The sequence below is a fragment of the Homo sapiens genome, chromosome 4 (genome assembly GCF_000001405.40).
Source record: "Homo sapiens chromosome 4, GRCh38.p14 Primary Assembly".
NCBI lineage: Eukaryota > Metazoa > Chordata > Mammalia > Primates > Hominidae > Homo > Homo sapiens.
In genome coordinates, this window is record NC_000004.12 from 78,699,553 (window position 1) to 78,715,895 (window position 16,343).

The window sequence follows — 16,343 nt, forward strand, 5'->3', positions numbered from 1 at the left end:
GCCAGGCTGGTCTTGAACTCCTGACCTCATGATCGACTCAACTCAGCCTCCCAAAGTGCTGGAATTACAGGCATGAGCCGCTGCGCCCAGCTCTAGGTGCTTATTTTTTAAAGCTAATTACTTAGAGTTCTTTTATATGTTTTTGTAGTGAAACATCACTCACATGACAAATATAGATACATTAACAGAAGCACATGTGTCTGCGCTGCCTATAAGTTATGAGATTTCCATTTACCAGTTTTAAAGTTTTTTTTTTTTTTTAATTTTAAACCCTCAGTCTCTTGATTACCTGTTGCTGACCTAAAAAGTGTCAGCCAGGCAGTTCCAAATTTATGTTTTTAAAGGGATAATTCTTAGATGAAACAAAATGGAGAATTAATATTTTATTTAAACCAAGGGAAAATTGTGTGGGTAAAGTTTACTCAAGATGTCCAGGAAAAGTAGACACTCTGACATATGGAGATTTCCTTAAAGATGTAAATTTCTTCATTGGATTTTGGCTTTAGGGTGGAGACTCTTAAGGAATAGGGATAGGAAAGCATGCAGATCCTAGGGCCTAATAAGCAAGCATGGCTGGAAGGCAAAATAGATCCCCAAATTCAAGGATCTCATTTTTACACTGAATCCTGGGTCCCCAAAAGAGGGAAACACTATAGGATGAGAATGCAATACTTCCATAGTGAATTTTATTATAAGGACATTTTCCCAAGGCTGCTGGACAATCCAGTACCAGTTAGCCCACTCTGTAATCAGTCCATTTTCTATTCTATACCTTTTTGCTGTGTAAGAGCATACTTTTCTTATTTACATGTGCAAAGAAAGGAATATCGCCCCGTAGTAATAATTATTCATTGTAAGCAATTACCATTAGCCATTTTTAAAAGTATGGCTCTTATCTAGCTATTACATATCTAGATTAAAATGTTTTATAATTCAAAGTAATTTCTAGTTCCTCCAAAAATTCAAAAAGATGGCCGGGCAAGGTGGCTCACACCTGAACACTTTGAGGGGCTGAGGCAGGTGGATCACGAGATCAGGAGATCAAGGCCATCCTGGCTAACATGGTGAAACCCTGTCTCTACCAAAAATACAAAAAATTAGCCAGGTGTGGTGGCACACACCTGTAGTCTCAGATACTCAGGAGGCTGAGGCAAGAGAATTGCTTGAACCCGGGAGGCAGAGGTTGCAGTGAGCTGAGATTGCCCCACTGCACTCCAGCCTGAGTGACAGAGTGAGACTCCAACTCAAAAAAAAAAAAAAAATCAAAAAGATTAGATACAAGAGGAAGGGGGTACAGACAGGAGTAAATGACAAACAATCAGAATTCTGTTGACTGAGAAGTTTTTACAGAGGGAGAGCAGGGGCTTTTAAACAATATCTAGACACATATAGCCCAAATATTAGCCTTTATTAAGACAATTTTCAGCTATAGGGCTCTCAATAGAAAACGCTTTTAAATCTTTCATCATTAGATTTTAGCCAGGACAAACAGCCAATATTTCTGTTTTTTACCTAAAGTAACCTCCCATGTGAAACTGATAAGCCTTAACTAAGGTTATGATTTCACCATGGGTGTCAGAGGTATTCTTAAAGAGGTGGCAAGCAGTTTTCACAGTTTTCCCCCCAAAGGTGGCTCTGAGAAAAGAACATTCAAGACAGAAAGTTAGAAGTTGTTCATGGAAGGGTAAAGAATCAACACATTGCAAAAGTCACACAAATATCAAACCAGAAAGGGCCTATTTCCTGAGCTGAGAATTGAACCGAGGCTGCTGTAGCAAAAGGGCAAAACCTTAGTTACTGAGCTACAGCCATGAGGCAGTTGCTATTATTTTTCCCAGAAGCAATCTAGAGCAGGTAGTTTTGAGTTTGCAAAAGATTTTAACTGTTCAAGGGTATTCCTAAGGCTAGCCATGATATTATCATGTGTCCTTTTAGAATTGCTGCATGTCATAAAACCAAAAATTCCCACCGTCTGGATGGCAGAGACCAAGAGAGAGTACCTCCACATGATCACAAAGTCAAGTTCTCAAGGACATAAAACAAGATGAAAGGAAAACCTCATCTGGTTTTTGTTTTGGAGATCCACAGCAAAGTATGTAACTGACCAGTCTGCAGGGCTGGCTCCAACAGCAGGCTTATAGGGGTTCTAAGCCCACATTCTACACTATGGTACCCCTCTCCACGACAGAACAACACAGAAAAGATGAAAAGACTAGTCACACAAATCCTTTATCCTATTAATCAAAACTTTGCGAAGGAGAAAAACAGTAACTTTTACCATTCACTCAACCAGTTTACACAAATGGAGAGACCAGAAGCCTGGCTGGTAAGAAACTCTTACCCTTTTGTCAGCTTGTCAGGTTTCTGGGTTTCCTCTCTCTGTGACTTCCAGAAGAGTGAAGCAGCTTTTGATGATCCTGCTTGCTGCACCATAGCTATGGGGGCCGCATTACAAAAGAAAATCATCCGGGCTGGGCGTGATAGCTCATGTCTGTAATCCCAGCACTTTGGAAGGCCAAGACAGGTGGATCACTGAAGACTGGGAGTTCGAGACCAGCCTGACCAACATGCAGAAACCCCGTCTCTACTAAAAATTCTAAAATTAGCTGAGTGTGGTGGCGGGTGCCTGTAATCTCAGCTACTCAGGAGGCTGAGGGAGGAGAATCACTTGAACCTGAAAGGCAGATGTTGCAAGAGCTGAGATTGTACCACTGCACTCCAGCCTGGGTGACAGAGTAAGACTCTGTCTCAAAAAAAAAAAAATTGTCCTTTTTCATTTCACGGAACCATAGGCAAAAGCTTCTCAATTTTGCAAGTTGCCACCCAACAGGCTACATGGGGGAACCAAATTAACATTTCCAATTCTGGCCAGAGTGAAATACACGTGACAGAACACAGACACTAGATATCCCACTCAGTGCCCAAGTATGGACCTGGCAAGGCTCAAATTTGTGCCCGTTCATCCACTCAAGATGGGGAGGGATCACCTCTGACTGGGAATTTTAACAGGTGGTCTCAGGGCAGGATGGAAGGGCAGGATGGAAGGGCAGATGGTCACCCTGAGTTAGACCTGCTGAGCTCCCTCTAACACTTCCTTCAGGGCTTACTGAATGTGACTGGTCAGACAAAACAGGAGAGCCGGCTGGACTTCCATCAGCCATTCCTTTAGAGATTTTCTGCACATATATAAACACACACAGTGAACTAAAGACAAACAGAAGAATTTTTAAACCAAGATTCCAGACCAGATTCGTTCTTCAAACCGGAAGAGCATTCTTCCAAACAGGTCTCCTATGCTCCATCCAACAGGGGAGAGATCTCCCGAAACCGAGATTCTTCCTACAATCTAGGGAGAGCCGGATAGTTCCCATGATGGGACAACAGTGCCTCTAGAGAGGCCAACAGATCAGGAGAAGGAAGGGGATGTTGGCAGCACCTGAAATACTGGATGTCTTTCAGGAAATATTTCTCCATTGCAATTAGATCCATGCATTATGGGTAAATAGCACCCTACTAGAAGAGATGGTGCCAGGGGTAGTCCTTAGTCCAAGAAAACTAAGTGGCCATTTGGGCTGGCCTCTGAATCCATTGCCAGTGAGAGGCTGCTGAACCACAGGCAAGTACCTACAAAGGCTATCATGGACAAGCCCCAAATTTATAGCTGCCTAATGGGTTTATTTTGTCTGCTACCCAGATAGAGCCAATTTATCAAGACAGGGGAATTGCAATAGAGAAAGAGTTTAATACACATAGTGCCAGCTAAATGGGAGACTTGAGTTTCATAATTACTCAAATCAGCCTCCCCCCATATTTGGGGTTTTTTAAGGATAATTTTTGGCAGGCAAGTGGCTAGGGAATTGGTGCTGCTAATTGGTTGGAGATAAAACCATAGGGGTGTGGAAAACAGTACTTGTGTGCTGAGTCTTCTTCTGGGTGGGGGCCACAGGACCAGTTGAGTTAAGAATTGCAGGTTCAGGTGGAATCATCTGGTCCTCGGAAATGCAAAAGTCTGAAAAGACATCTCAAATGGCCATCTTAGGTTCTATAATAGTGATGTTATTTATAGGAGTAATTGAGGAAGTTATAAATCTTGTGACCTCCAGAACAATGGCTGATTCTCATTTAACTATGTCTACATCTTAGCAGAATTCAGGTCCCTTTCATAATCCTAATATTGTGGGCTTTCATTACTTTTACAAAGGCAGTTTTGGTCCCCAACTAAGGAGGGGGTAGTTTGAGGAAGGGCTATTATCATCCTTGCTTTAAGGTTAAACAATAAACTAAATTTCTCCCACAGTTAGCTTGGTCCATGCCCAGGAATGACTAAGGGAAGTTTGAAGGCTAAAGGCAAGATAAAGTTAGTTAGGTCAGATTTCTTTCACTGTCATAATTTTCTCACTGTTATAATTTTTGCAAAGGCATTTCCATAAAATCTGAAAAGCAATAGAACTGCACCATTGGGTAGCAAGACTTGACCCACTATTTACACACTAAATAGGTGTGGCAGACATTCATTGCTTTTTGGCTTCCAGGCGTCTATTCTAGCACCCCCAGTTCCACTGGGAAATTACTCTTCCTAATGGATACATTCTGTTAAGACTTTTACTCAAGGCCGGGTGCAGTAGCCCACAAAGTCAGCACTTTGGGAGGCTGAGGCCGGAGGATTCATTGAGCCCTGGACAGTGAGACCAGCCTGGGCAACATGGTGAAACCCTGTCTCTACAAAAAAATTCAAAAATTAGCCTGGTGTGGTGGTGTGCACCTGCAGTTCTAAGTACTTGGGAGGCTAAGGTGGGAAGATTCCTTGAACCTAGGAGGTGGAGGTTGCAGTAAGCCAAGATTTGTCCCACTGCACTCCAGCCTGGGTGACAGTGAGATGTGGGTGACAGAGTGAAATAAATAAATAAATAAATAAATAAATAAATAAATAAATAGTGAGACCTGGGTGACAGCCTGGGTGACAGAGTGAGACCTGGGTGACAGAGTGAAATAAATAAATAAATAAATAAATAAATAAATAAATAAATAAGTGTTAGACAAAAACAGCTTCAAGCTTCCTTTATCAAACTGGATTACTGTACTAAGATCTTTCTGCATAGAAATTCTGAAACCAACACTGGAAACAGTTCTTAAGCAAAGAACAAGACACAATGGTGCTAATTAATAGAACCGGGATAAAGACACAAAAGCATGCAGAAACCCAACTGTTGGAACTAGACCAGCAGCATATACCCAAGAAAGGGCAGATTCCAAGGCCCCATCTTAGACTCTCTGGATCAAAATCCCTGGAGTAGGAGACCAGGTCTTTTCATTTTCTTATATTTGTCAATGATTTTGAAGCTCACTAAAGTTTGATAACCATGCTGTTTTGTGCTGGGCTAGAGCCCCATGGAATCATGCTTGTCAAAGCTTAATATGCAGACATGTGATCTTGCTAAAATGTAGATTCTGACACAGAAAGTTTGGGTGGGGCTTGAGATTCTGCATTTCTAACAAGTTCTCAAACGATGAGGCTAGATGAGCCATACAGTCTGGGTGAGGCTAAGCCTGAAGCTAGAATCAGAAGGCACAGACCCAGGGGGAGAAGCTGTGAAGTAGACAGAGCCTGACAGCTCATTCCTTGGCAAACTGACAGAATGAAATCTCAGAGCCTGCAAAACTGGCAACTAGCTTCTCAACCTCCTCAATGCTACCATCCTTCTGCTTCACCTGAGCAGCTCCTAAAGCGGACATGAGACGCAATCCTTTAATTAAATCCTCAAATAGCTTCTTTGCCTGACCCACTCCCTCTGAATCCTTGTTCAGCATTACAAGATGAAACAAAAACAAAGAGGTGATTCTGAAGTTCAATCTGATGTAATTGGGTGCTTTGTTCTTAATTAGAGTGCAAAGTCCTCTTTTTGTAGGCCACTGAGTCTGTGCAGATAATACAGTTTCCTGTTTACTGTTCTAATAAAAACTACTTTGCATTATTAAAATAAAAGCACCTTAAAAGCTGACATAGACAGTTTCCAAATGATACATGTAACAGAATCAAATTGTTTTGAAGAGCTTGTGAATATTTGATTACCAGACATTGCCCTTCTCTTTTTATCTATTGATACATTCAGTCACAATTATAGTCCAGGTACTGTGCTAAGCACGGTCACATGCTATAGATGGTGTACAATCTCAAAGTCCTGGCCAAGAAATGCAGAAATTCAGCCTTTGCATGTAGTTTAATGAAACTCCCAGGACCCACTCCACTATTGGATTTATTTATTTAATGGAAGACTATGTGGAAATCCCTGTTCCATGTCCTCTGGAAGAAACACAGAAATGAAGGTAGAGTTCCAAATGGTAGAGAATAAACAACAGGTGGTCTGGGTTTCATTCAAAATGTGAGTCACACTAAAAATGGATAGGATTTTTTTTAAGGGTCACTTCCACTCCAGATTTCAATGTATGTTGCTCAGAATAAAGTGGGTATTTCATAGCCACCACAATGGCTGTGTATTAAGGCAAAGCTCTATTGAATTGATATTTTTATAAGTATAAACAGCATTTGCAAGGCTGAGTTGAAGGAGCTAGGAGAGGGACTGGCCTCAAAGCCTTTAAAAGACCCTTAAAAGGCCTTACAGCCTTTTAATATACTCTTGTAGGGTATGTTATCCCCTAAATACCAGAAGTCTGAAAACCTCTGGGTTATAGTAGAATTATTTCTAAAACAGCAATTTCCAAGGCACATGAATAATATTAAAAATCACTGAAAAGGATGTGCTAAGCACCCACGTGCAAATTTTTTGGTGGCCAGTCTAAGATGTTTAAAGAAACTTTGGGAGTGATTTGGGAGATAATAGGGGATCATCAGGAAGAAGTCGAGAGTGTGGCAAGCATAAGAAAGTAGGATGGATATGCAAAGCGAGGCAGTGCGGGATGTGTTGACATAAGGTATAGGTAAGAAGGGTAATATAAGACGACAGGCTCAGAAATGAGTCACCAACACCTTGAAAGACTTGAGAAGAAAGTAAAGTGTCAAAAGGAATGTCACCCCCCTGGAAAAGCCTTACCACAGCAATGTACTTAAAATAACTACCCTAACACTAACATAGCATTCTCCATCCATTTGCACTACTGTCGTTTTCTTCATGATGCTTTTTACTCCATGACATGATTTTTTGTGTCATGAATATGTTTGTTTATCTTCTGTTTTCAATTAGAATATAAGACCCATGATGCCAGGAACCTGTTCTTGTTCACTGCTTATCCCCAAACCTAGAGCAGTACCTGGTAATAGCAAGTATTCAACAACGTATTTGTTGAATAAATGAATGAAACCAATGAAGGGATTTGAGAAAGGGATAAGACAGAATGCTAGTACAAGTGTCTAGAATAGAGGTGTGATGAATAAAGATGGGGAAGAAGACATCAAAATAAAAGTACAAAAATCAAATAACAGTAAAAACTTTTATCATGTATCTTAAAATTTAAGAAGATATATGAGACCCTAAGCACACCCAAAATTCAATCTAAATAGCCTAGAAACATTATTTATAAGCATTAGAGGAAAGAATCAAATAATTCTCAAAGAGAAAAACTGGGACCCTTGATACTGAGGAAAAAGGCCTGCAGACTCCAGAAACCCTTTAACTCTTCCCACCCCCAGCTGCAGAAAGAGGCCTTGAGCAAGTTTCCTTGCTTTGGGGCTCACTGGACCCTCAATGCAAAGTCACACTAGAAGGAGGAACATCAAGTGTCACTTGGAAGCTGTTCAAGAAAAGAAAGAGAAAACAGTAAAGGAGGGGAGCTTTATAAATCTAGCAACTACGTAGTCCAAAAGGAGAATTTGACTAACCCCTCCTCCTCCTCCTCCTCCTCCTCCTCTTCTTCCTCCCACCCCTTTGACCTTCAGACAGTGTCTCATTGTTTAGATTATGTTTATCTGAGAAAAGACAAAGCCTCAGCTGTGAGTCTGTGGTTGTGCACCCCCTAGAACTTATTTTTACCAAATATCTTGGTGCCAGCAGCAGTGATGCTAAGGGTGCTGGTTTAGGCAATAAAGGAGCAACTCGTGACTCCATCAAGAAGAAAATACATCACAAAGCATCTTCTCCATCAGAGACCTATATTTAATTTGTCTTTAGCTTGTGTGTACTGATTGCCTGGTATTTATCGTCTTCAGATCAACAGTATGTACACAGAGCAGAATGTTTCTTTTCTGAAAACTAAATTCAAACACAGATTAATCTGGTAAGAGTAGTTATACCTCTGAAGAGTGAAGGGGAAATTGAGGGACATTTACTTATTATTTTATTATTTTAGTTTTAGTTTTAGTTTTATGAGACACGGTCTCACTCTGTTGCCCAGGCTGGAGTGCTCTGGCATGATCATGGTTCACTGCAACCTCAACCTCCTAGGCTTGAGCAATCCTTCTGCCTCAGCCTTCCGAGTAGCTGAGACTACAGGCACACAGCACCACACCTGGCTAATTTATTTAAATTTTTTGTAGAGACAAGTTCTCACCATGTTGCCCGTGCTGGTCTCAAACTCCGGAGCTCAAACAATTCCAACAATGCCTCAAACAATGCCTTGCCCTCCCAAAATGTGGGATTACAGGCACAAGCCACTGCACTCAACGACCCATTTACTTATTATTTTACACTTTATCTTAGCCAAAAGGCTGAGAAGTGATACTTATTTTAGAAAGTCTAAAAAAAGGTGAAATTTGTTTAGTTGGCTTGCTTTTTTGGTTCCATTTGATAGTTTCGTAAATGCTATTTTGTTAAAGTTTAAAAGTAGTGGATTATGGGTAATGCTTTTTAACTTTTTTTTCCATCTGATGTTTTCTGTATATATGTATATAAAAGCATAGGCCGGGTGCGGTGGCTCACGCCTGTAATCCCAGCACTTTGGGAGGCCTAGGTGGGTGGATCATGAGGTCAGGAGATCGAGATCATCCTGGCTAACACAGTGAAACCCCGTCTCTACTAAAAAAATACAAAAAAAATTAGCTGGGTGTGGTGGCGGGTGCCTGTAGTCCCAGCTACTCGGGAAGCTGAGGCAGGAGAATGGTGTGAACCCGGCAGGCAGAGCTTGTAGTGGGCCGAGATTGCGCCACTGCACTCCAGCCTGGGTGACAGAGCAAGACTACGTCTTAAAAAAAAAAAATCATATATATACACACACACACACACACACACACACACACACACACATATATATACACATATATACATATATACATATATACACATATATATACATATATACACACACACACACACACACATATATATATATATATATATATATATATACACACACACACTTTTTTAAAAAATAAAATCACTGGGCATTGTGGCTCATGCCTATAATTTCAGCACTTTGGGAGGCCGAGGCAGAAGGATAACTTGAGGCCAGGAGTTTGAGAATAGCCTGGGCAACATAGCAAGACTCTATCTCTACAAAAAAATTAAAAAATTAGTCAGGCAGGGTGGTGGTCCACACCTGTAGTTCTAGCTACTCCAGAGGCTGAGGCAGGAGGATTGCTTGAGCCCAGGAGTCCAAGCCTGTAATGAGCTATGATTGTGCCACTGCACACACCAGCCTGAGCAACAGAGCGAGACCCTGTCTCTAAACAAACAAACAAACAAAAAAGAAGAAGAAGGAAAGAAAAGAAAATCAGGTTGCAGGGGGAAACCATACCATGTTAAAAAAAATGTTGGCTGGCCATTAGGTTAAAAATTGCTTAAAAATACAATTACCAGCCAGGTATATTTCATGGTACTGTATAAATTTTAGCATGGGTATGTCATAATAATAACTAATACATATCACTAACTATGTCCAAAGCACTGTTCTGAGTTTGTTGTTCTGTGTTTATTTATTTAATCTTTACAGCAACCAGATGAAGAAAGTACTATTATAATCCTTATTTACAGATAAACCAACACTTTCTGGGGAGAAGTTGATTTAAGTGATTAACAAGTCCATGCCATCCAGAGCCCTACAGTTGGTAACATAGAGATGTGATGTGAGACATCCCAGATTCTTTTTAACTTTCTTTTAATATATGTATTTTTTTGTTTTAGAGATGGGGTCTCGCTATGTTGCTCGAGCTAGTCTCAAATTCCTGGGCCAAGTGATCCTCCTGAAGTCCTGGGATTATAGGTGTGAGCCACTGCACCTGGCCCATTTTTCTTAACTTTCTTAATTGAAATTTAACATATGTATAATAAAGTGCACCAATCTTAAGTATATAGCTTGATAAATTTTTATATATGTATCCACTGGGAAATCACCCAAATCAAAATATAAAATATTTCCAGCTTCCTCAAAGGTTCCTTTTAGTCTCTTCCTAGTCAATACCTCCCCAAAAGTAATAATTATTCTGACATTTATCATCCTAAAATGGAATCACACAGTATGTACTCTTTTCTGGCTTCTTTTTTTTGTTGCTGTTGGGTTGCGGTTTTTTGTTTGTTTTGATTTGTTTTTGTTGTTGTTGTAGTTGTTGTTGTTTTTTGAGACAGAGTCTCACTCTGTCACCTAGGCTGGAGTGCAGTGGCACGATCTTGGCTCACTGCAACCTCCACCTCCTGGGTTCAAGCGATTCTCCTGCCTCAGCCTCCAGAGTAGCTGGGATTACAGTCATGCACCACCACACCCAGCTAATTTTTAAAATATTTTTAGTAGAGATGGGGTTTCACCATGTTGGGCATACTGGTCTTGAACTCCTGACCTCAAGTGATCTGCCCACTTCAGCCTCCCAAAGTGCTGGGATTACAGGCGTGAGCCACCACGCCTGGCTATTTCTGGCTTCTTTTACTCAACATTATACTTGTGAAATTCATTTCTGTTGTTGTATGTATTAGAAATTTATTCTTTTTATTGCTGTATAGTATTCCATTTGTATGAATATCCCAAATTTATTTATCCATTCTCCTGTTGATGGACTTTTGGGTTGTTTCCATTTTGGGGTTACTGTAAAGCTGTTATGCATATTATTTTACATGTATCTTAAAGAACAAATGTTTTCATTGCTCTTTGGTGTATACCTAGAAATGGGATTACTGGATTACAGAGTAGATGTGTATTAGAATTCATAGATATTGCCAAACAGTTTTCTAAAAGAGTTATGCCCATTTATACTCCCACTAGGAATGCATGAGAGTTCCAGTTGCTCCACATTCCTGCCAACTCTGTCATTCTAGTGGATGTGTAGTGATGTCTCATCATGGTTTTAATTTGCATTTCTCTGATGACTAAGGATGTCAAGTGCCTTTTAATATTTTTGTGGGCCATATGGATGTCCTCTTTTGTGAAGTGCCTGTTTAAATCTGCTTATTATGTTAATTAGGTGGTTTGTCTTTTTCTTATTGAATTGTAGGAGCTCTTAATACATCCGTATTATGAATCCTTTGTCAGATATATGTAATCAGGAATAGATTTTCACAGTCTGTGGTTTCTCTTTTCACTCTTTTAATGGTGTCTTTTGACACTGAATCTTTTTTAGGACTAAATGTATTTTATATAACAAATGTAAAAGAGCTTATCTAGTTAAGTTAGCAACATGTACAATGTCATAAAATTTATGTGAATAGTTTCACGTAAAATCTATTTCAAATAAAACCTATTTCAAATAATTGTTTTATTCATTCACACATATAATTCAATATTCACCTCAAGTTAACTATGTGCAAGGCACTGTGCCTTCAGTACAAAGATGACTGAGACTCTTCTTGCCCTCATGGAATTCACTGGACTCCATGAAGTTGGTAGGCAATAAATTACAATAATGTACAGAGATAAATGATAATAAATATGTACACATTTCCATGAGCTCAGGCTCAAGTGAAGGTATTATGAGAGTAAGGCAGGAGTCTCAGGAGTAGGATTTGATAATCTGCATTTCAAACATGCTCCATAAGTGGTTCTTTGTTTTGTGTTGTTGTTGTGGCTGTTGTTTTAGTTACAAGTTTATATGTGAGAACCACTGAGCTAGAATGTAGGAGAACCAACGTGACACAGAAAACGGTGCCTAGGGTCAGGTTATGAAGATTATTTCCTTGAATTTCATGCTGAAGAGTTTGAATTCAATCTAAGTGGGCAATATAAGGCCATTAGAGGAGTTTTTGAAGGGAAGAAATTTTAAAACTCAAGATCAATGATCTTGATAAATGCAGTTCTTCCTACTTCTCAGCTGTTAAAACCGTTGAGGGTATCTGTGTGATTTATCTGATTGGATTTGAATGATGCTTTGACTAAATGTCAAAGGAGAAAGTAATATTTGTATTTATTGTTCTAGATCAGAAATCAGCAAACATATTCTATTAAAGGATAAAATTTATAGAAGGCCATTGGTTTGGGTTGAGCTTTTGTACTAGGCCCAACAGACCAAACCAAAATGTAGTCACTCATGCTGAAGTTCCATGCCACCAAGATGAAACCAACATGTTTATCTGAGAAATCCGGAGGCAGAAAGAGATAACAGCCAATTTTCCAAATAGGCCAGTTTTAGCTGCATGATAAAGAAGTCCCCTCGACTTTAACATTTACAAGGAAAGTAACGTTGAAATGACGATTCCACTTTTCGCTCTGTTTCTGCTTTTTTCAGCCCCTTTCTGTCTATAAAGCTAAGCTCCTCTGCTCAGCTCATTGGAGCACTTATTCTATTTTACAGAATGAGGTTTTATGTGGTTCTAGAATCACAAATAAAACAAATTAGATCTTTAAACTGAATTTGTTGTCATTCTGTTTTTTGACAGGCCAGATAGTAAATAATTTAGGCTTTACAGGCCACATAGTCTCTGTTATACCTATTCAAATCTGCCTTCATAGAAGGAAAGTAGAAAGCAGCCATATCTTTTACATATTTTACATAGAAATGGTGTAGCTGAGATCCAACACAATGTTATTAATAAGATTTGGTGAGTCAGATTTGGCCTATGGGAAGCAGTAGTTTGCCCACCTTGGTTCTAGATAATTTCATTTAGTCTAATTGAAAGTTTATAATGCAGTTTAGCTCCAAGATTTTTGGCTCATGGTAGCAATTCCTCCCCAAAATCACGTTTAATAGCTTCAGTTTAAATAAACATAAATCTGAAACAAACTAGGATTTTAAAAAATTAGTAAAATCTAGATTGTGGTATATTCTACAAGATAACTGCCCTAGATGGTTTTTGGGATTTTTGGTTGTTTGATTTGGAGTCAAGATCTCACTCCATCACCCAGGCTAGAGTGCAGTGGCATGATCACAGCTCACTGCAGCCTTGACCTCCCAGACTCAAATAATCCTCCCACCTCAGCCTCCCAAGTAGCTGGTACTACAGGCACATGCCACCACACATGGCTAATTTTTGTATTTTTCATAGAGATGGAGTTTTGCCATGTTGTCCAGGCTGGTCTTGAACTCCTGAGCTCAAGCAATTCACCCATCTCGGCCTCCCAAAATGCTGGGATTACAGGTGTGAGCCACCACACCCAGCATGCTCCTAGATGTTTAAAAGAAAATGTGATGAGGAATGAGGTGGAAAAGCAGGGAGAATGTTCTAATCTAAATCAAAAGGAATTTAAGAGACTGTACAAGCAAATATAATGCATGAAGCTGTTTGGATCTTGGATCAAAAACAAAAATAAAAAGTTGAAAAAAATCTATGGGACAATTGAGGTGTTTGAATATGATCTATTTGGATATAATATTGTTGGGATTAGAAAGCAATACTCCCAAATGAAGACCTCAGAAGCAGCCTCAGAAGGAAAAGCATTTCTCTGACCTTTTCCTGCTCTCCTGTCCTCAGTCCCATTCTTCCTTGAGGTTAGTTACAGAAATGAGAATCCCTCTTCCCCAAAGAAGGTCATAGAAACCAGAACCCCTTTTCCTCAAAGCCAGCCATAAAACCTAAAATGTTACTTAACCCTCCCCTCAAACTTTCTTTGTAAAAACTGGTCCTTAAGAAACTATGTGACCAACTTTGTTTGACTGTAGGTCATAAGACCTCTATTCCAGAGGGGGTCTGGCCCTATACTCAGAAGGAAGGAATGTATTCTCAAAGAGGTCAAGAATATGAACAGACAGGCCTTACTGGGTTTTCCCACTCAGTCTATTAGCATCGGATTTTCTCTTTTTGTCCAATCATGTTGAACATAAGCATTAAAATGGACAGTTTCCCCTATATCTTTGGGTCTTCATTCTGAAGGCTCCTGTGTCACCTAAAACCATGATCAAATAAATTCGTATGCCCTTTCTTTTATTAATCTACCTCTTGTCAGTGATTATCAGCAAAACTTCAGAAGGCAAAGGGGAAGTTTTCATGTGCGTCCGTGTGAAGAGACCGCCAAACAGGCTTTGTGTGAGCAACATGGCTGTTTATTTCACCTGGGGGCAGGTGGGCTGAGTCCAAAAAGAGAGTCAGTGAAGGGAGATAAGGGTGGGGCCGTTTTATAGGATTTGGGTAGGTAAAGGAAAATTACAGTCAAAGGGGGTTTGTTCTCTGGCGGGCAGGAGTGGGGGGTCACAAGGTGCTCAGTGGGGGTGATTTTTGAGCCAAGATGAGCCAGGAAAAGGACTTTCACAAGGTAATGTCATCACTTAAGGCAAGGACCGGCCATTTTCACTTCTTTCGTGGTGGAATGTCATCAGTTAAGGTGGGGCAGGGCATATTCACTTCTTTTGTGATTCTTCAGTTACTTCAGGCCATCTGGGCATATACGTGCAAGTCACAGGGGAAGCGATGGCTTGGCTTGGGCTCAGAGGCCTGACATTCCTGCCTTCTTATATTAATAAGAAAAATAAAACAAAATAGTGTCGAAGTGTTGGGGCAGCGAAAATTTTTGGGGGGTGGTATGGAGAGAGAATGGGCGATGTTTCTCAGGGCTGCTTCAAGCGGGATTAGGGGCGGCGTGGGAACCTAGAGTGGGAGAGATTAAGCTGAAGGGAGGTCTTGTGGTAAGGGGTGATATTGTGGGGATGTTAGAAGAAACATTTGTCATATAGAATGATTGATGATGGCCTGGATACGGTTTTGTATGAATTGAAAAACTAAATGGAATAACAAAAGGAGAAAAACAGGTATAAAAGGTCTAAGAATTGGGATGACTCAGGATATCTGATTAGAGACTGCCTAAGGAGATTCAGCATAGTCCTGCCAGCAAAGATTATTTATTTACTTCAAGAGTTAAGAGTGGCAGTTTGGGGATAGCACCAGGAGATATCAGCTGTGATGGCTTGGAAAAACAGTGTAAACCGGCAGTGTAAACAAGAGCAGGGCATGTTTGAGTAGTTGAGAACGGTGAATAGGAGTATGACTAGACAGAAGGTAGTAGGGATGACAAGTTTTTTGGGGCACAGTCTAAGTTGGTCTGGTGTCTGGAATGAGACTGGGACCTAATAAAAAGGAGCGTCTATACAGGAGCTTAAATGGGCTGTATCCTGTAGCATTCCGAGGATAAGCCTGAATTCTGAGAAGGGAAAGTGGTAAAAGTATTGTCCAATCCTTTTTAAGTTGGTGGCTGAGCTTGGTGAGGTGTGTTTTTAAAAGACCTTTAGTCCATTCTACTTTTCTTGAAGATGGAGGACCATAAGGGATATAAAGGTTTCACTGAATACTAAGAGCCTGAAAAACTGCTTGGCTGATTTGACTAATAAAGGCTCATCTGTTATCAGACTGTATTGAGGTGGGAAGGCTAAACTGAGGAATTATGTCTGACAGAACAGAAGAAATGACTGTGGTGGCCTTCTCAGACCCTGTAGGAAAGGCCTTTACTTATTCAGTGAAAGTGTCTATTTAGACTACAAGGTATTTTAGTTTCCTGACTTGGGCATGTTGAGTAAAGCTAATTTGCCAGTCCTGGGTGGGGGCAAATCCTTGAGCTTGATGTGTAGGGAAGGGAGAGGGCCTGAAGAATCCCTAAGGAGTAGTAGAATAGCAGATGGAACACTGAGAAATTATTTCCTTGAGGATAGATTTCCACGATGGAAAGGAAATGAGAGGTTCTAAGAGGCGGGCTAGTGGCTTGTGCTATAGCATAGCCTGCCTTTGCTGGTGTGTGGCGATTAGGCCTGGTGGAACTGCCATCAATAAATCAAGCGTGATCAGGGTGAGGAACAGGAAAGAAGGAAATATGGGGAAATGGGGTGAATGTCAGGTGGATCAGAGAGATACAGCCATGGGGGTCAGGTGTGGTATCAGAAATAATGTGGGAGGCCGGATTGAAGTCCGTGCCAGGAACAATGGTAATTGTGGGAGACTTAACAAAGAGTGAGTACAGCTGAAGGAGCCGGGAAGCAGAAAGTATATGTGTCAGGTATGAGGAAGAAAATAGATTTTGGAAGTTATGAGAACTGTAGAGAGTGAGTTGAGCAT

The 16,343-nt window shown here is 40.4% G+C and overlaps 2 annotated features.

Annotated features, from left to right (window-relative positions):
• Window positions 6,608–7,240: an enhancer, noted in NCBI's record as "OCT4-NANOG hESC enhancer chr4:79627314-79627946 (GRCh37/hg19 assembly coordinates)". NCBI's record gives its function as "activates a minimal SCP1, AML or CMV promoter by ChIP-STARR-seq in naive H9 embryonic stem cells {active_cell/tissue: H9 hESC(naive)}" and the evidence as "EXISTENCE:reporter gene assay evidence [ECO:0000049][PMID:30033119]".
• Window positions 15,265–16,211: an enhancer, noted in NCBI's record as "OCT4-H3K27ac hESC enhancer chr4:79635971-79636917 (GRCh37/hg19 assembly coordinates)". NCBI's record gives its function as "activates a minimal SCP1, AML or CMV promoter by ChIP-STARR-seq in naive H9 embryonic stem cells {active_cell/tissue: H9 hESC(naive)}" and the evidence as "EXISTENCE:reporter gene assay evidence [ECO:0000049][PMID:30033119]".